The 27131-nt window shown below is 35.4% G+C and overlaps 2 protein-coding genes across 9 annotated transcripts in view; one reads left to right on the top strand and one right to left on the bottom strand.

Annotated features, from left to right (window-relative positions):
* The window catches only part of SLCO1A2 (solute carrier organic anion transporter family member 1A2), a 155035-nt gene that overhangs the window by 38468 nt on the left and 89436 nt on the right, over positions 1-27131 (top strand). For 2 of the 7 annotated variants that reach the window (XM_024449138.2, NM_134431.5), the window contains exon 2: positions 6642-6768. The exons of 4 other annotated variants lie outside the window; for them this stretch is intronic. The gene's annotated coding sequence lies outside the window, so the exon portion shown is untranslated. Of the gene's footprint in view, positions 1-6641; positions 6769-20269; positions 20505-27131 lie in introns of those variants that run through there. One more of the 7 variants, NM_001386882.2, reaches the window with a different exon arrangement.
* On the bottom strand, positions 1187-26208 carry IAPP (islet amyloid polypeptide). 2 transcript variants are annotated; one of them, NM_001329201.2, is made up of 3 exons: positions 26154-26208; positions 7736-7830; positions 1187-2930 (listed from the first exon to the last, which is right to left on the bottom strand). In NM_001329201.2, the coding sequence occupies exons 2-3, from the start codon at positions 7813-7815 to the stop codon at positions 2741-2743; spliced, it is 270 nt and encodes an 89-aa protein (NP_001316130.1). In that variant the 5' UTR covers positions 7816-7830; positions 26154-26208; the 3' UTR covers positions 1187-2740. The 2 variants fall into 2 exon arrangements, with proteins under 2 accessions (NP_001316130.1, NP_000406.1); NM_000415.3 differs by lacking the exon at positions 26154-26208 and adding an exon at positions 8163-8265.

Genomic DNA, 27131 nt, shown 5'->3' with positions numbered 1-27131 from the left:
CCATTTATTTATTTTTGTTTTTGTTGCATTTATTTTTGGGATCATATACCAGTTAAACTCTGTCATTTTTTCTCATAGTGTACATACTTAAGCCCACTCACCCAACTTCTGAGATCTTATCTGGAAGCTGCCGATCATCAGTTTTAGGTGTTTTCTACCTATTGGGAGTCTACCTTTCTCTGGTGCTGGCTACGACCAGTTATTATTTTAGAGAGACAATTTAACAATCACCTGACCATCAGCTGATAGTCGCCTGATAATTCTTGGTCGGGGGCTGGGGCAGTGGGGGCATGGGGGTGTGGGTTGGGTTGGGGGGCCCTCTCTTCCCTGCTCATGGTTGCCTAGCTACCCATTCTAGCACTTGGAAGCCTAACTCACTCAGGTTACTCAAGGGTACCTATGATTTCATGTACCTAGACACAATGAGAAAGGTTAAGATAAACGTAGTCACCAAAATTTTACTGTTGGTACCTCCAATTACAATAATTTAGTTATTCTCATTATTTTTTTCCCAAAGTAGTTGTGAGAAACCAGAGAATACACTCAGTAAGCTCCCTGGCAGTAATGTATTCTCAGTCTTTATGTATTTGATTCCTTACTGAGCTGCAAATACCAACCTAACTAAGGAAATAATGCTGAATTTGTTTAAATGTTTCACTTTCGTAAGAAATTGAATGAATAAACTTCAGAATAAAATCTTCGATTAATATCTGCTGTATCCATATAATAACCTTTGTGTTATAGAGTCACTCTAACTATGTTTTAATCTCTAGCACCAGAGGTTGTTGGGTTACTATTCATAATTCTTCTTGTTTAATTCCTGGGAATTGTATGCTACCATAGGCAATGTCCTTGAACATGATATGCACTCATTAAAATTTTGTTAACACTAGAAAGAGAGATGGGGGAATTGAAATAAATTATAATGTTAAATAACAAATCCATATATGTAATATTTATAAACCTAAATATAATGTTGATATTATAACTTGACATATTATAAATTACATATTTTGTTATACCTATTTATATCATATATAGGTGTGATATGCAATAAAACTGTAGACTATTGTGGGAAATTTTTCAAATAAGTTTGAGAGATTATAATTTAATTGTACCTTATTCAATTTGAAATATTGGGTTTGAGGCCACTTTGAAAGAAGGACCAACAATTGAGCATCACAAATATAAATTTGTATATTCACCTATTTATTTCAATATGTAATTCATGACATAGAATTTATTATAAATATATTTCCCTGCCTCTATACACTCACTACCGCTACCACTTACCACCACCAACGAAAGCCTCTACAATTTGGTAACCTAAGGCACACTTCATAAAGGGAAATTTTAACTTAGAAATGTAAGTCAATGAGTCAAATTTCCACTTAGATTGAAATGCTTATTTTTTCTATTTTTTTAAAAGTACAAGTTGAGTGTCTTTAGAAATGGCATAACGCAGCATGATGGCAGTTTATCTGAATTAATGCTACTTCCAAAGCTACCTAACTCAAAGTCAGGGAAAAGCAGATATTCATAAGAATCTGACTCAAAGCAAAGCATTTCATCTTCTGTCCAACATTGCAGCTGCTATCAAAAAAAGTGTATCATATACATAACCTCTGCCAGAAATGTCTAATTTGTTAAACAAAAGAAATAATTCTTATACAGCAAAGAGTTTCCAGAAGTCTGTGGTCTTTTAATTGAAGACACGATTAATAGAACACAAGTTGTTTCGCAATACCCTGCATAAGAATATGACTGAGGTTTGCTGAAAGCCACTTAAACAAAATAAATGACATATACATTTAATAGAAGCTCACTGCTGCTAACACACAATGAAACCCTCATGGATACAAAGCAGTTTTATACTTTTAAATAGCCTCTTAGTACCAGCAAGCACAACAAACAATAGACTTTAAAAAATATTTTGACCGAGTCAGGAGCAGGATTTTATTTCTTTGTTTTTAAAACAGCATTCTGTCATTTCAGAAATATACTGCAAAAAGGAATTGCTTAACAGGGGTATTGACAATTACTAATTTGCTTATCAGGGGTACTTACAATTACTAATTTTCTTTCTTTTTTTTGAGACGAGTCTCACTCTGCCACCCAGGCTGGAGTGCAGTGGTGCAATCTCGGCTCACTGCAACCTCCGCCTCCTGGGTTTAAGCGATTCTCCTGCCTTAGCCTCCTGAGTAGCTGGGATTACAGGCACATGTCACCACCCCCGGCTAATTTTTGTATTTTTAGTAGAGACAGGGTTTCACCATGTTGGTCAGGCTGGTCTCGAACTCCTGACCTTGTGATCTGCCTGCCTCGGCCTCCCAAAGTGCTGGGATTACAGGCAAGAGCCACCGCGCCTGGTCCAATTACTGATTTTCTCATGTCAAGAATAACTTCATTATTAGCTGTTTACAATTTACCAAGGTTCAAACTACCTTTTTCTCCTTCGTTCTTAAACCTGTGCCACTGAGATATAGGTCCCAAAATGACGTTCTTATGTTTTAAAATACAAATCTATAGCAAAAACATTTCATTTTAAAAGATACTATCTTTTTATTATGGGACCTTAGTTAGTACTACATATAAAACAATCTTTTGAGAAGGTATATGTCCTAGCAACAAACATCAGACACACAGACCATATATTCACACTGGAGATGAAAAGGGCACTGTTAAATTATACAGGAAATCACTAGAACATAAAACAATAACTATAGAGTTACATTGTCCTCTAAAGGGGCAAGTAATTCAGTGGCTCTCTCTTTAAAACCTCTACTGCATTCCTCTTGCCATATGTATTGGATCCCACGTTGGTAGATGAGAGAATGGCACCAAAGTTGTTGCTGGAATGAACTAAAAAATTTGCCAGGCGCTGCGTTGCACATGTGGCAGTGTTGCATTTCCGCTTTTCCACCTGATGACTGGTAACATGGAACAAATGTGAAAAGTTAGAGCCTTAGAATTTTAGCTGGATCCAGCCATGTGACATCAAATATCTTGTATTGATGAAAACCAAAGAAACAATTTTCACATAAGTAACTCAGTGTTTTGGTTTGCAAACACCTAGATGGCTGAGATTTTTTTTTGACACCTTGAAATAACAATTGAAAATCATACAACATCTTTCATTACAGTCAATGTTGCATTTCTCAGTTAAAAGTCTTCCTTTGGAAATTCAGAATATATTACATATAATCAAAATAACAGTGTCTTTGTCTTACATTTTTAAAAATCTTGAAGAATTTATTTTTAATATATAAAAAGAATTTAGAAGGTAAAATTTATATGTAATCTGAAATATGAAGAAATTTAAAAATAATTATTTCTACATCTTTCCAATAAGAATAAAGCAGCATTACTTAGTCTTTAAGTTCCTTGAGATAATTGAATCAGGAGTGTTATGCAAGAAATGTCATAAGGGAATTCTGCAATATGCAACACACGGATGAACCTTGAGGACATTAGGTTGAGTGAAAGAAGCTAGTCATAGAAAGATAAATACCACTTGGTTCCATGTATATGAAGTATTTAAAATAGTCAAATTCATGAGTTAAAGAGTGGAATGGTGGTTATCAGGGGCAAGGGAGAGGGGGAAATAGGGAGTTACTAACCATTGGGTGTACAGCTTCAGTCAAGCAAGATGACTAAGCTCTAGAGATCTGCTGCCCAACATTTTGCACATAATCCAGAATAATGTATTGCATGCTTAAAAATTTGTTAAAAGGGTAGATATCATGCTTTGTTCTTAAAACAATAAAATGAAATATAATAAAGTAAAAAATAATGTCATAAAAAGTATGTCAAAAAAAGAGAATATCATAAAGTCTCCAAAAGAATCAAATCTATCACCTGTTCAGGTACTCTATTGCAGTGTGAGAGTTTTATTACTTTTAGCATAAATACATTTTCCTGCTTGGATCTTATGCTTTCAAGAATTTTAATGATAAGACTAGGTTAAATGTTAAAACCAAAAGACTTTTTATGTCAATGGTATTAATATTCATCACATTTTTCTAGCCACCTGGAAGAAGTGCATAATAATACTTATAAACTCAGAAATCATAACCACACATTAAATAATTCATTTAATTTTAACTTATGTTTTTATTTAAGACATTTATTTGTATACCAACTCTATTTTTTTGACAGCCTTTTGTTTCAATGTGCTTTTAAAACGATATCGGAAATGGATGCAGAATAATAACATTGCTTCCTCTTTGCTGATTATTAGGAAAGTTAGAGAAATGTTTTAGTTTTCAGCTCCATAGAAATCAAAATATTGGTGAAACTTAGGGTAAATGGAAAATGAAATAGTTATAGGGCTAAAAACTCAATGTCCAGGAGCCAGTGGATATGCATAATCTGGGACTCAAATGCAATGGATTTATCTCATTGTGTTTACCTTGTGTGGGGAGTATTTCATTATCTCTATCTCTAAGTAGAGATAGCCTAAGAGTAAATATTTAATAATCTCATGTGAAACTGTTTTTTTTTTAAATTTTACTCCCATATTTCTTCCTAAGTACAGAAAACTTCTTACAGCATTAGGTGAACTGGATACTTGTTGAATGTAAGTGTATGCTGACAAATGTTTGAACAAATTATCTGGGCAAAGAAAACCACTTTGGGATCTAATTATTTAACCTATATCAATCTCATTCACACTATCTGTTCAATTATTTATTTTTGAAGGTACCATAAATATGACCAATGTACATTTCAAAAGAGTGATTTATGCTTTAAGGATTGAACTAGTAATTTCATACATTTGCATTGAATTCTAAAATACTTACTTTTCTTGAAAAACAGTAAAAATTGGAATTTGGTCCAAACATCTCAAAAAAAGTAATAAAGGAAAATTATGGGTCAAATTGAGAAGATTCAAAGGTAATATCTGTTCCAAGATATGTTTAGCATATGACTGAAGCACAGTGTGAAATACTTTATATGCTAAATGCTGAGTGGTATTTTGATAATTGGTTGGAAGGTCAATAATATAATTTAAAATTGTTCTAAATAAAATGTTACCTTATTTGAGTTAGCTAGATGGGCCATCATTCCACTTAGAAGAAATAGTAAAAGCATTTATGTTTTTATCATATTTGTGAAATTGCTTTTCTAAAAAAGACTTTTCATCTAAATATACTATTCAGTATATATAAGATTCTATCTAAAGCAATCTTTAGGATGGAAAAAGTTGTCTGAAATGGTTAATAAAAGGCATTACCTCCCTGGTTTCAGGCATTTTTTTCTCATTGACTACCTGGACAGGTAACATACGAGCTAGTAACAAACATTAAAGCTGTAGACCACTTACAGGCACATACACACATGGAAATTCTTGACTTTAAGAGAGTTTAAACAGAGATGACAATAAGCCAAAGTATAACTCTTAAATTGCCTCTCTTTTAAATTGTCTCTCCAGAGTTTTCAAAATGACTTTAAAGTGAGTCCCTGCTCTCAGCCTTAACATTCATCTGTGGAAGTATGTGAGCTCCTGCAGGGAGATCCTAGTGATTGCATCTTGGCATCTATGTAATTATATTTTTAACTATCCTTTGATTACCTGCCAGGCAGATATTTACAAGGGAGTGTAAAAAAGTTGGTGGGAAAGTATGTGATCCTTTTATCCTATTTCATACATTTACAAATTGAAAAAATCTCAAATGAGATGATTAAATTTTGTGAGGAAAATGACATTGAATAATGTTAGTTTTATTTTTTAAAAAGAGTTTAAAATTTGACACATTTTCCCCATAGATTTTCCTAGCTTTCTGTGAGATATGTAGAATAGTACATGATTTAACATCTCAGCATGACAAATCATACTCCCTTTAACAAATGTTCAAACATACTCATTTCAGGCAACATATTAAAAAGCAATTTGAAGAATGTTTTACAAGATTTCTAATAATTCAAAGTTAAAGATTGTGAGACTAACATCAAAATAATTTTATAACAAGTAATATTATATTACATATTGCTCTATTTCTAAGTGAAGTTTCTCTCATAATAAACAAACATCTATAAAAACATAATGGTCTGGGTTCAGTGGCTCACTCTTATAATCCCAGAATTTTGGAAGACTGAGGCAGGAGGAAGGCTTGAGCCCAGGAGTTTGACACCAGCCTGGGCATCATAGGGAGACCCTTTCCCTATAAAATAAAGATAAAACAATTAGCTGGGTATGGTGGCAGGTGCCTGTGGTCCCAGCTACTTGGGAGGCTGAGGTGGGAGGATCACCTGAGCCTAGAATGTCAAGGCTACAGTGAGCCATGATTGTACCACTGTGCTCCAGCAGCCTGGGTGACAGAGACAGAGAGAGAGAGAGAGAGAGACCCTGTCTCAAAATAAAATAAAAAAAAGAGAGGGTAAAAGTGCTTAGTAAATTTCTATATCTATTGAAAGAAAGTATCAAGATATAAACAGATATACTAGGAAATACTACTGATTTTCCTGTCATCATTCAGATATTCTGCTTATCAGAAACTTCATGTCATTTTAAAAGTTATTTTTATGAAAAAGCAAATAGAAAATTACAGTCAGTTCTGAGAAGAACACCCTGTAAACTAAATAAGCCTTGAAATGACAAAAAGCCTCTGATAATGATTCTTGCTATTTATTATACGTAGGTGCTGTAGAAATCTTTGCATATTGCTATGGGCTTCCAAGAAAAACTACCTCGAAGGAAAACAAAGACAAGATGACGATCATTCTAATGAGAAGAATTATAATATGACATGCACACTCTTTACAAAGGTAAACTTAATTCTCCTTGGTGTTAAAGAGTGTGTAAGTTCAGTCCCATAAGACTATATGGAGCAAAACTAATTTAGGCACAAACAAATCCTCACTATGTTATTTATGACTTATGCACATATTTGAACTTAATAACCCTTTAAATAAATTACAGTTTTAAAATCTCAGTTTGAAAATTTTAACTACTCTAAGAGTTTTACGTGACATAGTTGTTAGATGTCCTTAATTACCATTTAAATGACATGAAACCTTTCGTAATAAGACTTCCCAGGAAATCCTGACATACATGCTACCTACTGAAAGTAATTTTAAAAAGTATTAAGTTTATAGCAGCTTAGAAGTAATAAGAAGAATAACTTTTTATAAATCTGTTTCACTCACAGAATAGCTAGCTAGCAATATAGAATAAATCCCCCAACAGCAAATGGCTTTTTAACTACTTCTTTTAGATTTCATTTCTTAAAAACATTAATTTGCTCCTGATTATTTCTATACATTTCCATTTCCACAAGATGTAAAAGTTTTTAACATTTCCAGAGACATCTGAGGAAAACAAAAATCTAAGTAATATATACAAAAAGAATCCACTTGGTATAAAAATATATGCTTTAGTTAAGTTTCTCTGGTTTGTTTCAGTATCAGGTTAATATAGAAGAAATTACTACCTTTTGATTTTTTTCCCGCTTCATGTTCTGGCTTTGCCCCTCTAAGTTCCAAGAGTATATTTCTTGACAAAACTGGAATTATCCATTCCTGTCTGTCAGAAGTTCCATCAAAGATATTTATTTGCCACTGGTGTTATTCTTTAAAGAACACAGAATTCAAGGAACAATGGAATAGCTGAAGGTACTGTTCTTAAGTATGATATAGTCAGAAATCTAAGGCTGTAGTTATTTGACAGTATTTAATTCTAATTTTCTCACACTTTACAAAAGTTACAAAGAAACAGGATTTTAAAGTTACCAACCTTTCAATGGGTGTAGCTTTCAGATGGTTCAATGCAACAGAGAGCACAATGAGAAATACTTGCAGCTTCAGGATGCCCATTGCTTCTCAAATTTTCTGCAAAGAATAATCCAGCACTGAAATCAAGAGATTTCTTACAGTTCTAATTGATGTAATTTTAAATTAGAGCTTAGTTTTTAAAAGAAACATCTTTTTAAAACGTAATTTACAAGGATCAAAATTTTTATTGATACAGTCCCTTAATATTGTCCACTTTTCAAGTAATTTCGAGATTTTTACTTTCCCAATTTCCTTCTCTAAGCAATCTGAACATTTATATTGTAATACATTCTCCCTTTAGCCTTTCTTTGAAATAAACCATGAATTTAACACCAAGTGTGCATTTCTCTAAATAAATAAAACTTTCCCAGAAATAGGAAATTCTTTACCTTTTAATGTTTCAATGTCAGCAATATCAGCAAATGCTTCTGATAGAAAGAAAGCTTCAAGAAAAGAGTCCAAGCTTGTATCCACTGGAATATTTACCCCCTCATTTGCTAACTAGTAATCCAGCTCTTATATACCCCTCACACCTTTCTCAGCTCTGACATCAGGCAGCTCAGAGAGCCTCTGTCATTAATTTCCATCCCTATAGATAGAAAGTACCTCACAGGCAGCAGAAGCGGATGGGTCATTATTACATTAACTCATCAGTAAATATTAACGTAGCAAATACACAGTGTCCTTGTGCAGTTAATGGTGTGTCATACACAGCAGAAGTTTGAATTTGCCATCTTTGTAAGACATGAGTGAATTTCCAAGAATTAAGTGTATGTTATGGTAAGGAACTGATAGAAAAGGGTAAGGATAACAACAAATGTGCATATATGCAAACAGAGAAATCACAGACTTTTGGTATATCTAAACCCAAGTGACCTCAATGGCTGAATCCCATGAAGCTTCAGGAATAAATGGAGATATAAGGGAAAGGTGTATAAAAAGGGCATAAAAGAGAAATCAAAAGTCATTTACAATGAGGTGAGGGGAGATTTAAAAGCATAAGAGTAATGGAAGACCTACTCTGTGGTAGGGATTATTCTAGGTACCAGAGATATGACAGGGAACAAAACAAAATTAGAATGAACAAATGCTACATAACCAAATGAATAAAAAAATTCATTTTTCAGCACTTAGATAGAGATCCATAGGTATATGTAGTCAAGTAGTTTTTGGATGACCTTTTCCATTCATTCTTACACAGAAATTTTACAATTATTTTGAAAGAACAGATTTGTTTCCCATTAGCTCCATGAGAACATTATGAATGGCTTAGCTCACACAGTACTTTGTAGTTTGTCTTTTAAAATGATTTGCTTTTTAAAATTTTCTCCAAATTGCTTTTTCTTTTTCTTGTATTTCTTTCTCTCTTTCTTTTTTTTTCTTTTTTTTTGAGATGAAGTTTCACTCTTTGTTGCCCAGGCTGGAGTACAAGGGTGCGATCTCGGCTCACTGTAACCTGTGCCTCCCGGGTTCAAGTGATTCTCCTGCCTCAGCCTACAGAGTAGCTGGGATTACAGGCATGCATCACCATGTATGGCTAATTTTGTATTTTTAGTGGAGACGGGGATTCTCTATGTTGGTCAGGCTGGTCTCGAACTCCCAACCTCAGGTGATCCGCCCACTTCTGCCTCCCAAAGTGCTGGGATTACAGGCGTCAGCCACCGCACCCATCCTCTTTTTTTGTATTTCTAAATTATATTTGGTATCTTAGTTATTAATAGAACAACTTAGTGTCATGTAAAGCAAATAAATTTCAATTGTCAGTGAAAATGTGCATGCCTGTGTAATCTTAAAAAAATTGAAGTTCTCTAACTAGAAACATTAGTTCATTGATTTCATATACTTCTTAAAAGCTTTGTAACATTGTTTGAAGGTGTTTGGTAGAGATTTCAGGAGGAAAGAAACTTGTTTAGAATCCTTGTTCTAATTATTCAATGATTCTACAATTTTAATATTTCTGTGAAATTTACTGATATTCCAAAAGAAAAAAAATCAAAAGAAATGGAAGGATAATGCATTTCCGTAAGAAGATAATGTACTTAACAAGGTGAATATGAGGTAGGAGGCAGGACTAGACTCCAGAGGCAGGGCTTGAACACCAGACCAAATTGAGAACTAGCTAAAACAGGGCCAATGGAAAGCAGCTTTCCATAAGACACGCCCCCTAGTGTGCCATGTCAGTTTACCATTGCTATAACAACACCCAGGAGTTACTGCCTCTTTCCAGGGCAATGACCAGATGACCCAAAAATTACTACCACTTCCCTTGAAATTTCCGCATAAACCATCCCTTAATCTGCATGTAGTTAAAAGTGGGTATAAATATGACTGCAAAACCGCCGTAAGCTGCTACTCTCTGCATATGGGTTAGCCCTGCCCTGCAGGAGCAGTCACAGAGTTATAAATGCCAGAGCTGTAACACCGCCTCTTCAATAAAGCTGTTTTCTTCTACCTCCAACTTGCCCCTGAACTCTTTCATGAACAAAGCCAAGAACCCTTGAGGGCTAAGCCCCAGTTTGGGTCTCACCTGTTCTGCGTTAAATACAGTGATGTAGAAAGCATACCAGGGCCAGTGACATTAAATAAAGTTCAACATCAAACATCTAGTTAATGCTGAATCCTGGACCAAAGCTTAGCTTTATGACTCATGGTCTAGTGTTCATTTAGACAAAAATACTTGCTTATTACCTACATTGTTATTTATTCTATTTTCATAACCTTTTTTGTTTCTCTAAGATGTTAAGGGTGCCAAACATAACATTCAAAATGGATCCTCTCTTACCCTAATGTTATAAGGAAAATCTTCTATCGAAACACTGCACGTTCTCACTCATAGGTGGGAATTGAACAATGAGAACACATGGACACAGGAAGGGGAACATCACACACCAGGGCCTGTTGTGGGGTCGGGGGAGGGGGGAGGGATAGCATTAGGAGATATACCTAATGTTAAATGACGAGTTGATGGGTGCAGCACACCAACATGGCACATGTATATATATGTAACAAACCTGCACGTTATGCACATGTACCCTAAAACTTAAAGTATAATAAAAAAAAAAGAAAAGGAAGACCTGGTATTTTATAAGGACTATCATATGTCAGGCACAGTCATAAAATTGATATGCGATATCCCACTTCATCTTTGCACCTCTTCGGTGGTTATTATTTGCCCTAATTTATAGATAATGAAAATGAGATTCAAAGAATATAAGTGACTTGCTTAAGGTTACAGAGCTACTCAGGAGCAGAATGAAAGACAAATTCTTATCTGTCTGATCCAGGATATTTGTTTTTTTGTTAAAAATGATCTATATTTTCATATTCTAAATTGCTAATTGCTTTCTCTAAGTTGTATATCTTGTTACAACACCTTGAATGATTTTGTTATAGCCAGATGTGACCTTATGCTGGTCTGTCTCGTATAATGTTTAGTAAAATCAACATCTATCCCAATCTCAAATAGCTTCAGAGTTTACATGCTCCCTGTAGCACTAATGAAAGTGAAGGTATGTGGATATTTAGATTATCTTTACAAGGGCATAATCTCCTTTCTAAAGGACAAGCATCACTGTCACTTATCTTGGTATCCCCTCTAGCCTTGCTAAGTCAAAGTGTGAATGAGGTGCTGGCAGCTTTTGCATCACCTGGGAGCTTATTAGAAATGCAGAATCTCAGGCCCCACCTTGGATCCACTCTATCAAAATCTGCATTTCAAAAATGATCTTTCCTTAGCAATTGCATACACACTACAGTTGGAGAAAAACTGTCCCGCAACTTTAAAACATCAGTCTGGATGTGGAATAATATGTGATATCTCACTTCATCTTCACACCTCTACGGTGGTTATCATCTGCTCTAATTTATAGATAGTGAAACTGAGATTCAAAGAACATAAGTGACTTGCTTAAGGTGAAAGAGCTATTAAGTGCAGAGTGAAAGACAAATTCTCATCTGCCTGTCCCAGGATATTTGTGGAATGAATTAGAGGGTGGCAAGAGTAAAAACAGGAAATCTATTAGCAGACGATGTCAGTGAGATCATGAGGCCTTAGACCAGGGTGGTTGCTGAGGAGTTAGAGAAGTAAATGACTCCAAGTCATATTCATAATCATAACATGCTTTGACAATGACATGAATAAAGGGAAGAAATGAGAAGAGATTGAAGATAAACATGAGTGTCAGGATATAATTCATAATATGTATTAATCTTCTTCCTATCACATTTTAAAAGTAAAAGATGTTTTATATATCATTTTAAAAATAATTTTTACATTTTATCAAATTTGTATGTGTTCAAATGGTATTAGAAGACTAATAATAAACACAGTAGTTCCTTGCCTTAATTCTGCCCACCCATAAATTTTGCTCTCCACACAGTTTTAACTATTTTAGGTGTTTCTACATTTCTTTATTTTAGCTGTTTCTACATTTCAAAAATATTTACTTCTCTGGACACTCTTGATTTATTAAATTTACATTTTATATGTTGATATCCCATATTAGAAGAAGAAGATTCAGCTCTCCTCACTTTTCTTCTCTATCACTATCGTAAAATAGTTTAATAAATTTTTTGAATTATATCAATATTAGGTGTACATCTTTTTTCTATTTACATTTTAAAGTGTTTCTTTTGGGAACTTTCAAATGTATATAAAATTAGAACAATTATCAACAAATGATCTATCTTGCTCACTCTATATTCCTACCTACTTTCCTCCCACCTCCCACTGTATTATTTAAAACAAATCCTAGAGATCACATAATTTTAACTGTACATTTTTTAGTGCTATAAAAGATAAGGACATTTTATAGAACATAGCTCTGAAACCATTATCCCATCTAAACATACAATTTATGGGAATTCCTTAATATAAATATTCATTCAGCATTCACGTTTTCCAGTTGTCTACAAAAAAAAAAATTTAACTGGTTTGTTGGATTCAGGATCTAAACAAGATTGCATTTGGTTGCTCTGTGTGACTCTTTAATTTACAATTTTCTGTCCGTTATTTTTCACATTACTGATATTTAAAAAATGGGGGCATTTGTTGTGTAGAATTTCCCACATCCTGGATTTTGCTGATGGCATACGTGTGGTATCATTTAACACGTTCCTTTCTCATTTGCATTTCCTCTATACTTGTAGTTTGGTCTAGAGGCTTGATATGATTCGGCTTCCATTATTTTGGTAAGAATATGTCTCACGTGATGCTGTTTATTTCCTATTGCATTATATCAAGGGGTACATAATATCTTTTATGAGGTTAAAAATGATCAGTGGGTTCAGATAGCAGGCAAGTTGTTCATTCTGAGTTCTCTATCAGCCTTTCATTTACTGGTTTTAGCAATCTTTGCTGATAATTGCCTGAAATCCTTTTTATTAGGGGTTGAAAAATAGTGCTAGTCTAATTCTGTCATTCATTTGTCATTTATTAGTTGAAATTCTTCAATGAAAGAGAACATCTCTTGTTAACTATTTGATTACCTTGAGGTAGTTTTAAATGAAAGGCAAGATATATGATTTTTCTTTTTCATTTTTTTGAAATATACTTTATATGTATTTTGATTTCCTTTGTCTTTTTCATATTAAAATTATCCCATGTTGGATCAACAGGAATCCCTTCCAGTTGCCTTCTATGTCTTGTAGTCTCGGTACTTTGATAGCTTTATTAATTTCTGATGAATGGCGTGATTTTATAACAACCTAAATGCTGATTACTATTGAACTGAGTAATATGCTGTGAGTATTTTCCTTTTTTATTTAACCTTTTGTTTTTCTTCTAATTAACATTTGCCTCTTTTTCGATTGTTCAGTTTTAGGCTTGCAAATTGTCTCAGAGAATGATAAAATATGATATGACCACTCTTCATATGATAATATTTCCTTCTTATTTCCAACTTCCCCTCTCACTGCCCATTCTCATGGAAATCTTTCTCCTATAGCCTCTGACCTTCTGCTTTTCTCCAAACTGACTGCTTTCTAGGATTGCTACGTAGTTGTTTTTATCCTTTTGCTTTCATATTGAGAAATACTCCCATCATTCTTCCATTTTAAAAATACTGTTCTAGTTTTCTTGATTTATGTCCTTATTTTGATGGAACATATACTGCAGTAGCTTCCTGAGAATGGACACATGAAAGACTGAGACCTTTTGTTTCTGAGCATAGTTCTAAACACATTATTTTTATTCAGAATTATAAAGGCATTATTTCATTGTATTCTAACCACTAATGTGGCTAAAAGAAAAGCAGTTTTTGATTTTTTATATTTCATTGTTTAAAACCTCTCTGTAGAAGTCCTTAGGATCTTTTCTGTATTCCTGATATATTTAAATTCAGGCTGATATGCTTTGGTGTGGATCTTTTTCTATTGACTGAGCTGGAAACTCAGTGTATCTTTTAATATATAAATTTGTGTTATTTAGTTCTGAAAAGTACTTTTGAATTTTTTCTTGATATTTGTCTCCTCTCCATTTTCTCTGCTTTCCTCTCCCAAAACGCTTTTATTAATCTTGTGTTTATATATATTTTCACTATTTTTAATCTCTTTAATTATTTAACTTCTATGAAGTTTCCTAATCTACCAACTTTTCCATAAAAAAACAACTTCTACAATCATATTTTTAATTTTCAAGAGATCTTGCTTTCTGAATCTTCTTTTATAGCATCCTGCTTTTGTTTCATTGATGTAATATCCATCGTTATCTCTGAGGATGCTATTTACAGCTTTCTCTTTTCTGGTTTCTTTTCAAAATTCTCCTTCTGTTGTGGTCTTCATTTCCTTCAGATCCCTTTTGTTAAAAAATATCTTTTAATGTTTATATTTCTTTTTTATTTTTATTTTATTATTTTACTTAAGGTTCTAGGGTACATGTGCACAATGTGCAGGTTTGTTACATAGGAATACGTGCGCCATGTTGGTGTGCTGCACCCGTCAACTCGTCATTTACATTAGGTATATCTCCTAATGCTATCCCTCCCCCGCCCACCCCCCGGCAGGCCCGTGTGTGTGATGTTCCCCACCCTGTGTCCCTGTGTTCTCATTGTTCAATTCTCACCTATGAGTGAGAACATGTGGTGTTTGGTTTTTTGTCCTTGTGATACTTTGCTCAGAATGATGGTTTCCAGCTTCCTCCATGTCTCTATAAAGGATATGAACTCATCCTTTTTTATGGCTGCATAATGTTCCATGGTGTATATGTGCCACATTTTCTTAATCCAGTCTATCACTGATGGACATTTGGGTTGGTTCCAAGTCTTTGCTGTTGTGAATAGTGCTGCAATAAACATACGTATGCATGTGTCTTTATAGCAGCATGATTTATACTCCTTTGGGTATATGCCCAGTAATGGGATGGCTGGGTCAAATGGTATTTCTAGTTCAAGATACTTGAGGAATTGCCCCACTGTCTTCCACAATGGTTGAACTACTTTACAGTCCCACCAACAGTGTAAAAGTGTTCCTATTTCTCCACATCCTCTCCAGCACCTGTTGTTTCCTGACTTTTTAATGATTGCCAGTCTAACTGGCATGAGATGGTATCTCATTGTGGTTTTGATGTGCATTTCTCTGATGGCCAGTGATGATGAGCATTTTTTCATGTGTCTGTTGGCTGCATAAATGTCTTCTTTTGAGAAGTGTCTGTTCATATCCTTCACCCACTTTTTAATGGGGTTGTTTGTTTTTTTTCTTGTAAATTTGTTTAAGTTCTTTGTAGATTCTGGATATTAGCCCTTTGTCAGATGGGTAGATTGTAAAAATTTTCTCCCATTCTGTAGGTTGCCTGTTCACTCTGATGGTAGTTTCTTTTGATGTGCAGAAGCTCTTTAGTTCAATTAGTTCCCATTTGTCAATTTTGGCTTTTGTTGCCATTGCTTTTGGTGTTTTAGTCATAAAGTCCTTGCCAATGCCTATGTCCTGAATGGTATGGCCTAGGTTTTCTTCTAGGGTTTTTATGGTTTTAGGTATAACATTTAAGTCTTTAATCCCACTTGAACTGATTTTTGTATAAGGTGTAAGGAAGGGATCCAGTTTCAGCTTTCTACATATGGCTAGCCAGTTTTCCCAGCACCGTTTATTAAATAGGGAATCCTTTCCCCATTTCTTGTTTTTGTCAGGTTTGTCAAAGATCAGATGGTTGTAGATGTGTGGTATTATTTCTGAGGGCTCTATTCTGTTCCATTGGTCTATATCTCTGTTTTGGTACCAGTACCATGCTGTTTTGGTTACTGTAGCCTTGTAGTATAGTTTGAAGTCAGGTAGTGTGATGCCTCCAGCTTTGTTCTTTTGGCTTAGGATCGTATTGGCAATGAGAGCTCTTTTTTGGTTCCATATGAACTTTAAAGTAGTTTTTTCCAATTCTGTGAAGAAAGTCATTGGTAGCTTGATGGGGATGGCATTGAATCTATAAATTACCTCAGGCAGTATGGCCATTTTCACAACATTGATTCTTCCTATCCACGAGCATGAAATGTTCTTCCATTTGTTTGTGTCCTGTTTTATTTTGCTGAGCAGTGGTTTGTAGTTCTCCTTGAAGAGGTACTTCACATCCCTTGTAAGTTGGATTCCTAGGTATTTTATTCTCTTTGAAGCAACTGTGAATGGAGTTCACTCATGATTTGTCTCTCCGTTTGTCTGTTATTGGTGTATAGGAATGCTTGTGAATTTTGCACACTGAGTTTGTATCCTGAGATTTTGCTGAAGTTGCTTATCAGCTTAAGGAGATTTTGGGCTGAGATGTTGGGGTTTTCTAAATATACAATCATGTCCTCTGCAACAGGGACAATTTGACTTCCTCTTTTCCTAATTGAATACCCTTTATTTCTTTCTCTTCCCTGATTGCCCTGGCCAGAACTTCCAACACTATGTTGAATAGGAGTGGTGAGAGAGGGCATCCCTATCTTGTGCCCATTTTCAAAGGGAATGCTTCCAGTTTTTGCCCATTCAGTATGATATTGCCTGTGGGTTTGTCATAAATAGATCATATTATTTTGAGATACATCCCATCAATACCTAGTTTATTGAGAGTTTTCAGCATGAAGAGCTGTTAAATTTTGTCAAAGGCCTTTTCTTCATCTATTGAGATAATCATGTGGTTTTTGTCTTTGGTTCTGTTTATATGATGGATTATGTTTATTGATTTGCATATGTTGAACCAGCCTTGCATCCCAGGGATGAAGCCAACTTGATCATGGTGGATAAGCTTTTTGATGTGTTGCTGGATTCGGTTTGCCAGTATTTTATTGAGGATTTTTGCATCGATGTTCATCAGGGATATTGGTCTAAAATTCTCTTTTTTTGTTGTGTTTCTGCCAGGCTTTGGTATCAGGATGATGCTGGCCTCATAAAATGACTGAGGGAGGATTCCCTCTTTTTCTATTGATTGGAATAGTTTCAGAAGGAATGGTACCAGCTCCTCTTTTTACCTCTGGTAGAATTCGGCTGTGAATCCATCTGGTCCTGGACTTTTTTTGGTTGGTAGGCTATTAATTATTGCCTCAATTTCAGAACCTGTTATTGGTCTATTCAGGGATTCAGCTTCTTCCTGGTTTAGTCTTAGGAGGGTGTATAAGTCCAGGAATTTATCCATTTCTTCTAGATTTTCTAGCTGATTTGCACAGAGGTGTTTATAGTATTCTCTGATAGTAGTTTGTATTTCTGTAGGATCGATGGTGATATCCCCTTTATCATTTTTTATTGCTTCTGTTTGACACTTCTCTCTTTTCTTCTTTATTAGTCTTGCTAGCAGTCTATCAATTTTGTTCATCTTTTCCAAAAACCAGCTCCTGGCTTAATTTATTTTTTGAAGGGTTTTTTTGTGTCTCTATCTACTTCAGTTCTGCTCTGATCTTAGTTATTTCTTGCCTTCTGCTAGCTTTTGAATGTGTTTGCTCTTGCTTCTGTAGTTCTTTTAATTGTGATGTTAGGGTGTCAATTTAAGATCTCTCCTGCTTTGTCTTGTGGGCATTTAGTGCTATAAATTTCCCTCTACATACAGCTTTAAATGTGTCCCAGAGATTCTGGTATGTTGTGTCTTTGTTCTCATTCGTTTCAAAGAACATCTTTATTTCTGCCTTCATTTCGTTATGTACCCAGTAGTCATTCAGGAGCAGGTTGTTCAGTTTCCATGTAGTTGAGCGGTTTTGAGTGAGTTTCTTAATCCTGAGTTCTAGTTTGATTGCACTGTGGTCTGAGAGACAGTTTGTTATAATTTCTGTTCTTTTACATTTGCTGAGGAGTGCTTTACTTCCAACTATGTGGTCCATTTTGGAATAAGTGTGATGTGTTGCTGAGAAGAATGTATATTCTGTTGTTTTGGGGTGGAGAGTTCTGTAGATGTCTATTAGGTCCGCTTGGTGCAGAGCTGAGTTTAATTCCTGGATATCCTTGTTAACTTTCTGTCTTGTTGATCTGTCTAATGTTCACAGTGGGGTGTTAATGTCTCCCATTATTATTGTGTGGGAGTCTAAGTCTCTTTGTAGGTCTCTAATGACTTGCTTTATGAATCTGGGTGCTCCTGTATTGGATGCATATATATTTAGGATAGTTAGCTCTTCTTGTTGAATTGATCCTGTTACCATTATGTAATGGCCTTGTCTCTTTTGATCTTTATTGGTTTAAAGTCTGTTTTATCAGAGACTAGGATTGCAACCCTGCCTTTTTTTGTTTTCCATTTGCTTGGTAGATCTTCCTCCATCCCTTTATTTTGAGCCTATGCGTGTCTCTGCGTGTGAGATGGGTCTCCTGAATACCACACACTGATGCGTCTTGACTCTTTATCCAATTTGCCAGTCTGTGTCTTCTAATTGGAGCATTTAGCCCATTTACATTTAAGGTTAATATTGTTATGTGTGAATTTTATCCTGTCATTATGATGTTAGCTGGTTATTTTGCTCATTAGTTGATGCAGTTTCCTCCTAGTACCAATGGTCTTTACAATTTGGCATGTTTTTGCAGTGGCTCGTACCGGTTGTTCCTTTCCATGTTTAGTGCTTCCTTAAGGAGCTCTTGTAAGTCAGGCATGGTGGTGACAAAATCTCTCAGCATTTGTTTGTCTGTAAAGCATTTTATTTCTCCATCACGTATGAAGCTTAGTTTGACTGGGTATGAAATTCTGGGTTGAAAATTCTTTTCTTTAAGAATGTTGAATATTGGCCCCCACTCTCTACTGGCTTGTAGAGTTTCTGCCGAGAGACCCGCTCACTGTTAGTCTAATGGGCTTCCCTTTGTGGGTAACCTGACCTTTCTCTCTGGCTGCCCTTAACATTTTTTCCTTCATTTCAACTTTGGTGAATCTGACAATTATGTGTCTTGGAGTTTCTCTTCTCGAGGAGTATCTTTGTGGCATTCTCTGTATTTTCTGAATTTGAATGTTGGCCTTCCCCGCTAGGTTGGGGAAGTTCTCCGGCATGATATCCTGAAGAGTGTTTTCCAACTTGGTTCCATTCTCCCCGTCATTTTCAGGTACACCAATCAGACGTAGATTTGGTCTTTTCACATAGTCCCATATTTCTTGGAGGCTTTGTTCATTTCTTTTTACTCTTTTTTCTCTAAACTTCTCTTCTCCCTGCATTTCATTCATTTGATCTTCAATCACTGATACCCTTTCTTCTATTTGATCAAATCGGCTACTGAAGCTTGTACATGCGTCACGTAGTCCTTGTGCCATGATTTTCAGCTCCATCAGGTCATTTAAGGACTTCTCTACACTGTCTTTTCTCTACACTGCCATTCGTCTACTCTTTTTTCAAGGTTTTTAGCTTCTTTGTGATAGGTTCAAACATCCTCCTTTAGCTCGGAGAAGTTTGTTATTACCAATCTTCTGAAGCCTTCTTCTGTCAACTCGTCAAAGTCATTCTCTGTCCAGCTTTGTTCCATTACTGGCAAGGAGCTCTGTTCCTTTGGAGGAGAAGAGGTGCGCTAATTTTTAGAATTTTCAGCTTTTCTGCTCTGGTTTCTCCCCATCTTTGTGGTTTTATCTACATTTCGTCTCTGATCATGGTGACCTACAGATGGGGTTTTGGTGTGGATGTCCTTTCTGTTTGTTAGTTTTCCTTCTAACAGTCAGGACCCTCAACTGCAGGTCTGTTGGAGTTTGCTGGAGGTCCACTCCAGACCCTGTTTGCCTGGGTATCACCAGCGGAGGCTGAAGAACAGCTAATATTGCAGAACAGCAGATGTTGCTGTCTGATCCTTCCTCTGGAAGCTTTGTCTTAGAGGGGCATCCCCCGTATGAGGTGTCTGTCGGCCCCTACTGGGAGGTGCCTCCCAGTTAGGCTACTCAGGGGTCAGGGACCCACTTGAGGAGGCAGTCTTTCCTTTCTCAGATCTCAAACTCCGTGCTGGGAGAACCACAACTCTCTTCAAAGCTGTCAGACAGGGATGTTTAAGTCTGCAGAAGTTTCTGCTGCCTTTTATTCAGCTATGCCCTGCCCCTAGAGGTGGAGTCTACAGAGGCAGGCAGGCCTCCTTGAGCTGCGGTGGGCTCCACCGAGTTCGAGTTCCTAGCTGCTTTGTTTACCTTCTCAAGCCTCAGCAATGGCGGACGCCCCTCCCCCAGCCTTGCTGCTGCCTTGCAGTTCCATCTCAGACTGCTGTGCTAGCAGTGAGCGAGCCTCCGTGGGTGTGGGAGCCTCCAAGCCAGCCGCGGGATATAATCTCCTGGTGTGCCATTTGCTAAGGCTGTTGGAAAAGAGCAGTATTAGGGTGGGAGTGTCCCGATTTTCCAGGTGCTGTCTGTCATGGCTTCCCTTTGCTAGGAAAGGGAATTCCCCCACCCCTTGTGCTTCCTGGGTGAGGCAATGCCCTGCCCAGCTCTGTGGGCTGCACCCACTTGTCTGGCAAGCCCCAGTGAGATGAACCTGGTACCTCAGTTGGAAATGCAGAAATCACCAGTCTTCTGCGTCCTTCACACTGGGAGCTGCAGACTGGAGCTGTTCCTATTCGGCCATCTTGGTGCCACCCTCTGATGTTTATATTTCTTATTGGAGCTTTCTTTAAATATCTGATGATCCTTATTGGCCCATTTATTTATTTTTATATTGGTGTCGTTTTACACCTTCATTTAGGGATTATCAAAATTCAATAAACTGCACATATTTAAAATGTATAATTTGACTGGTTTTGGCCAATGCACACACTCCTGAAACCATCACCACAATCAATGTAACAGACATTTCCATCCTTCTAAAATGTTGTCTTGTAACCTTTTTTAGTTTATCTCGTTACACTTCCTCATTTCCTTCTACTCCCCAACCCACTCCTCAGGTAACTGCTGCTGTGTGTTTTGTTCCTATGGATTTGTTTGCATTTTCCAGAATTCTATACAGATGAGATAGTATAGCATGTATTCCTTTTTGCCTGACTTTTTTTTTTTACATAGCATAATGATTTTGAAATTTATCTGCATTCCGTATCCATGTGCATATTTTAAATTGTGGAGTAGTGTTTCATTGTGTGAATATATTACAAAATGTTTAGCCATTTTGTTAATGGACTTCGGGTTGTTTCTAGTTTGAGGCTATTACAAATAAAGCTGCAACAAATATTCATGTACAAGTCTTTGTGTTGACACATGCTTCTTCTTTTCTCTTGTTTAAGTATGTAAGGAGAGGTAAGAAGTCCATTGATTTTTTTTTTTTTTTTAAGACGGAGTCTCGCTCTGTCGCCCAGGCTGGAGTGCAGTGGCACGATCTCGGCTCACTGCAAGCTCTGCCTCCTGGGTTCATGCCATTCTCCTGCCTCAGCCTCCCGAGTAGCTGGGACCACAGGTGCCCACCACCATGCCTGGCTAATTAGAAGTCCATTGACATTTATTAGTGAGACACTACAATGTTGATTGGGTGTTACATGCATGGACATGGCTTGCCAAATGGTGGATTTCATTGCAAGGTTATTGGGTAGGAAGAAGGCCATTTATCTGGGAGACTCCCAAATATCAGTATTTGTGGTTCTTTTAGCCAGGCGATTTCAGGTTTGTGTTTTTTTTTTCACTAATGTTTTACACAAGGAGTGAATAGTCAAGTTGAGGAAGAGGGTTTATAATTTAGTTGATTTTCCCTGTTTTTAAACTAGTGTTTTTCTTCTTCCCTTTATGGTGATTGGTTTCCACAGACCTAGAGTCTATCAAGTTTAATTTATCCAGAAATTAAACTGTTGTTAGGGTTAGAGAAGGTTGTTACCTGGATGCTTGGAAGGAAGTATGCGGGGATGGTCTTTCTTAAAGTCCATAGTCTTAAAGTATATAAAAATCTTCTAGTTTTTAGTCTTATCCCATGGCCTTGCTTCTGAGTTTTCTGGGGTCTAAAAATCCCTAGACTTGCAGGGACACTGGAGTAGCAGCTTGCTTCCTGTTAACATTGCTGTCTTAGCTAAGCATAGGATTCTGAAGATAAGTCATTATCTCTCCTCAGTCTTTTGCCACCTTCCAAATATATGTGAATATCTTCAGCCTGTTATTGTTTCCTCTCTCATGTGTTCTTTTTATTTATTTGTTTTCATTTTAATATTGCCATGGTTAAATGAAGTATAGATTACATGTTTATTCCTTCAGGAATCTCTTTGTGGCTTTGGTAGGTATTTAGACTTATGTATTAGAATTCAGTATTTAATGGTTTGCATCTTTATATTTTAAAAGTATCTCCAACAAACCGCTTTTTATTTTTCTTTTAATTTTTTCAATATTGTTCATTTATTGTTTGTAGACTTCTTTTCATGTTTCAAAGTTAATTTTTAATTATAAAAAATTAAAAAGGAACTAAAAATTGAAAAGTATTAACTAGTGATAAAATATAAGACACAAAATTATCTATATATGATGATAGAACTATACACAATATTTGCATACAATAAAATAAAACAAAAATATTATAATACTTTTTGTGTTAGTACTAAGCCATGGATGACATTTCTCTAGGCATTTTTAATGTTGCTACATAGTTTTAAAACCATCTCGTTAGTGGATTGCCACATAGTTTAAAAGTAGTATTGCTCGAAACATTTTTTGGAGAGGAAAAATATGTGTTTTAAAATCTGTGCTGGTTGGTATCAAACAATACTTTTTCTATTTCATTCCACTAAGAATGCTTAAAGAACACTATTTTCTATGTAAAAAGCTGCAAATTAGCAAGCTTAATGATTTTTTCCAGCATACTTTCATCTCTTTGTATCACAGATTCACTTTGCCAGAGAACAATCTAGAGTTGTCTTTTAAAAAATTATTCTTTCTACCATCCTTTAAAATGTAGCACAGACATTTTTAAGTTTATTAAGTGAAAAATGCCTATTCCAACACTCTTTTCATATCTCCTTTTACCAGATTCAAAACATGTGAGTAAAGTTTTGAAAAGAGACAGGAGACCAACTCACTCCACCCTGCCCCACCTCACGCCACCCACCCACCAAAGTCTGAGTAAGAGTGAGCAGTGCCCTCTCACTTAGAGCTTAATTTTCTTTGTGTGCTTTTATGGAGAATTCGGTATTTAATGGTTTGCATGTTTATATTTTAAAAACTTCTCAATAAATTTTCTTAAGCAAGAACATGTGTTTTCTAATACTGTTTTCATATTTTAAAAGAAAATGCATTTTTTAAGGACTCCTGAGATCTTGTTTCAGACATACAGATTAGGAGCTTTAGAAAGGCTTGATGATTCCTCCAGATAAAAACAAAAAAAATAAACACAGAAACAAATGAAAAATAATCGCTGAGTTAGAAGAAACCTTAAGAATAATTTAACTCTCCCATAATGCTTGAATTATTCATTCAATAATACTTAGAGCATCTATTGGACGCTAAATCCTTACATATAGTCCAGTTGGAGATTTGGTCAACAAATGGGAAAATAACAATGACATTTCCAACCAGTTGGGACAAAAAGTGCTGCAACACCATGTGGCTTAAACAACAGAAATTTATAGTTTCACAGTTCTGGAGGCAAGAAGTCTAAGATTAGGTGTCAGCAGGGTTGGTTCTATCTGAGGGCTGTTCCATGCCTCTTTCTAGCTTCTGGTAGTTTGCTGGCAATCTTGTTGGTTTGGAGAAGCAGCATCACCTGATTTTTGTCTTCATTCCCATGAGGCATTATCCCTGTGTGTGTGTCTCTGTGACCAAACTTCCCCTTTTTATACGTCCACCAGTTATATTATACTAGGGTCTCAAAGTATCTCAGTATGACTTCATCTTAACAATTACTTTGGAAATAACTCTGTTTACAAATGTGGTTTCATTCTGAGGTACTATTTGGACTTCAACAGATGCATTTTGCAGGGACACAGTTCAACCCATAAAGGTTTTCTGGACATTCTATAGTGTTTGTTTGTTTTTATCCTTTCTTTAGCTCAGTAGATTTTGTTCGTAAATCTTTCTCAGTGAAATTATTTCTTTTACTATTTTGTGGTCAATATTTTCTGTATTATTGCTATTTGAGACTTTATTATATTTATATTTGTAATCTAGTATATAATCTATTTCAGTAAAGTTTCCACGAGCACTGGAAAAGGCATATTTTCTGTTTAAGATACAAAAGTTCTCACTACTCTATAGATCTCCATACAATCTACTTTATTAAAAATGTAATTTAAGTCTTACAAATCCTTCTTTATACTTTTTACCTTACTAGAACTTGGACTGCATGAGAATTAAGCTACTATTATTTAAATGTTTCTGCCTGTTTGTCTTTGCATCTCCTGTGTTTTCTGCTTCATGAAGTTGTTTTACTCATTGGGTGCATAGAAATGTATAACACTCATATCTTTACTGTGAATTGTTCCCTTTAGTATATTTAAACTACTTTTCTATGTCACATTTAATGCTTTTTCAAAAGCTCTGAATGTTACCTTTTCAAATATTATGATCATGACTCATTTTTTTCTTACCTCTCTCCTTCCTTTTTCTCTCTCCCTTTTTTTCTTTTGTATCCCACTGTGCCCGTTCTTCTATTGTTATCTTTAGGTATAAATTTGTATTTAGTGTGTCCCTGTCATACACAGCATATAATAGAGATATGTTTTGGGAGTTAATCTGAAAAGTTCTTTCTTTTAGGAGGTAAATTAAGCCTGCATATTTCTTAATATCATAGGTATGTTTGGGCTTACTTCTGTCATATTAATAATGATAATTATTCCATAGTGCTTAATATTACCAGACTTTATTCAAGAATTATATATAAATATTTTAAATTTAATTCTTACATAAACCATCATTTAAAAATATATGGTGAAACTGAGGTACAGAGACGGTAGTAACATACTCAAAGTCACAGCGCTAGTTACTTATAGAGCTGTGATTCAAATTTATTCTGATTCTTGAATTTTTTTCTCTATCACTACATTATACAGGGTCTTTATTTGATGCCTTTTGTGATAATCCTGTATAATTTCTTAAAATCTATTTTCAAGTTCACAAATCATCCCTTTCATCTGTATCTGATATGCTGTTACTCATTCAATACTATTTTAATATCAAAGATTAAGTTAGTTTAGTTCTAAATACTTCTTGGCCATTTTAAGTAGCCTTTTTTGGTTAATTAGAAATAATCAGTTTTAAAATCTTTTAACCATTTTATATATGGTTGGTTTATACTGTGTATCTGATAATTTCAGCATACAAATTTTCTTTTAAACTTAATCTGTATTTTGTTTCTGAGAACTCTCAGTTACAGTAGTTTGATTTTTGTTTATAAGATCATCTGTTTTTTAACTTAATCTGTAAGAATCCTAAGTGTTTATGTTGGAAATATTCCCTGAGAAAAGATTTGGTTGCATTGCCACTATACAGAATTCCCTAACATCTAGGATCACTTTAGCTCCATGGGGGATTAAGGGTAATATAGGAAACTCACATCAGCTCCCTAACCTTGAGACAGACTCAAAGTTTAGGTCTCCCAGATCCTAGGCCTTGTATCAGTATTTTCTCCCAGAACAACTTCCTGTCACTTATTGATTACTCATGGCTCTCTGCTCAGATTTTAGCTCATTGCCTACCCCCTCACACTTCGAGATTTCTTTTCCTTTCTGTGAGCTTAGCCATAAAAATATGTTTGTCTTAACTTATCTAAGTTCTAGTTGTCTTTTAGTGGGAGGACTCTTCAGGATAAAGCCATACTTCAGGAAATAGTGATGTGTATGCACATTTTAAAGACTTCTGAGCTATATAGACAAATTCTACTCTATAAAGGTCGTAATAATCCATACTCCTCTAGAAATGATTTAGTGGCTCTGGTCTTCTTAAAATTGCCAACACGGGAAATTATAATAAAATAATATACATGGATCATATGATAAAGAAAAGTAGTATCTTTGTATCTTTGTGTTAAGTTGATTTTTTTATAGTAGTGATTTAGTGTATTTTTGAACATATGTGCCATTTACTTTCTAGTTACCTGGAAATGTAGATGTAGATATTAGGATAGGTCTGACCTGGAGATGTGCAAAGCTTTGCCCATAGAGTATATAATCCAAGGAGTGCATGTGCAACAACAGTAAATTAAGACAAAGAGTATCCCAGGAAACATCAGAATTCATGAGTCATACTGAGAAGTAGGAGCCAAAGAAAGATATGGAAGTGCTCAAAGATGACTTATTGGGAGATATGAGTAGTGTCAGCAATCAAATGAAGAAAAAATTCAAAGAAAGAAAGGTTGTTATGAGTGTTACATGATAAAGATAAATAACATAGGATGAAGGCTAAAAAACAGAAATTTGAATTTAAAAGTAAAAGTTTCCCTACGACCATAGCTACACTGCTTTCAGGTAAGGACAGAAACAGATACAATGGAATAGCAGGACAGTCCTGAACAACTACTAATATAGATTCAATGTATCATAACATATTGAGAGTCAGGGATCTTTTGAGACTATGACGGAAAAAATTGATTTTTTTTTCTGGAAAATGCTCACATGCACACACAATCTAAATATTGAATGCAATATCTAGATATTCACATTTCCTCTGACAACTATCTTTATCTGGCTTTACTTATTGTCACCTAATTTAAGAAGTTTCATCACAGCAGAAAGGAGAAATACCAATACCTTCAGGAGAGGATAGGGGTAGGTTAAGGTAACATGTAAAAAAATACCTGGCTTTTACTAAACACATGTTCATTGAATGCTTGTTGATTTTTCAGTAGCCACCAGGAAAGAAGAGGAAAAATATAATTGTCGGCACAGTGTCCGCAGAGGACTGAGAGGTACTGGGATCATGAGTGTAGTGGAGACATTAGTGTTTTAGGGAGGAGGGACGTGGACTTTGGAAATATCAGTTTATTCAGAATCTGTTTTATGTCATGAATTGTGTTAGAACATTCTTATGCAATGTCTCCCATAATCTTCAAACAACCCTAATGTTACCTTTTACA

Source organism: Homo sapiens, chromosome 12, assembly GCF_000001405.40.
Source record: "Homo sapiens chromosome 12, GRCh38.p14 Primary Assembly".
Lineage (NCBI taxonomy): Eukaryota > Metazoa > Chordata > Mammalia > Primates > Hominidae > Homo > Homo sapiens.
The sequence above is the reverse complement of the archived record's forward strand: the minus strand, read 5'-3'. Positions and strand labels throughout refer to the sequence as shown.

What these genes read in the sequence shown, in the direction of transcription:
- IAPP (NM_001329201.2), bottom strand. Translation starts at nt 7,815, where the DNA reads ATGGGCATCCTGAAGCTGCAAGTATTTCTCATTGTGCTCTCTGTTGCA. An exon ending in AAAGCTACACCCATTGAAAG is followed by an intron (nt 2,931 to 7,735) that starts GTTGGTAACTTT and finishes CCATGTTACCAG; the next exon opens with TCATCAGGTGGAAAAGCGGA.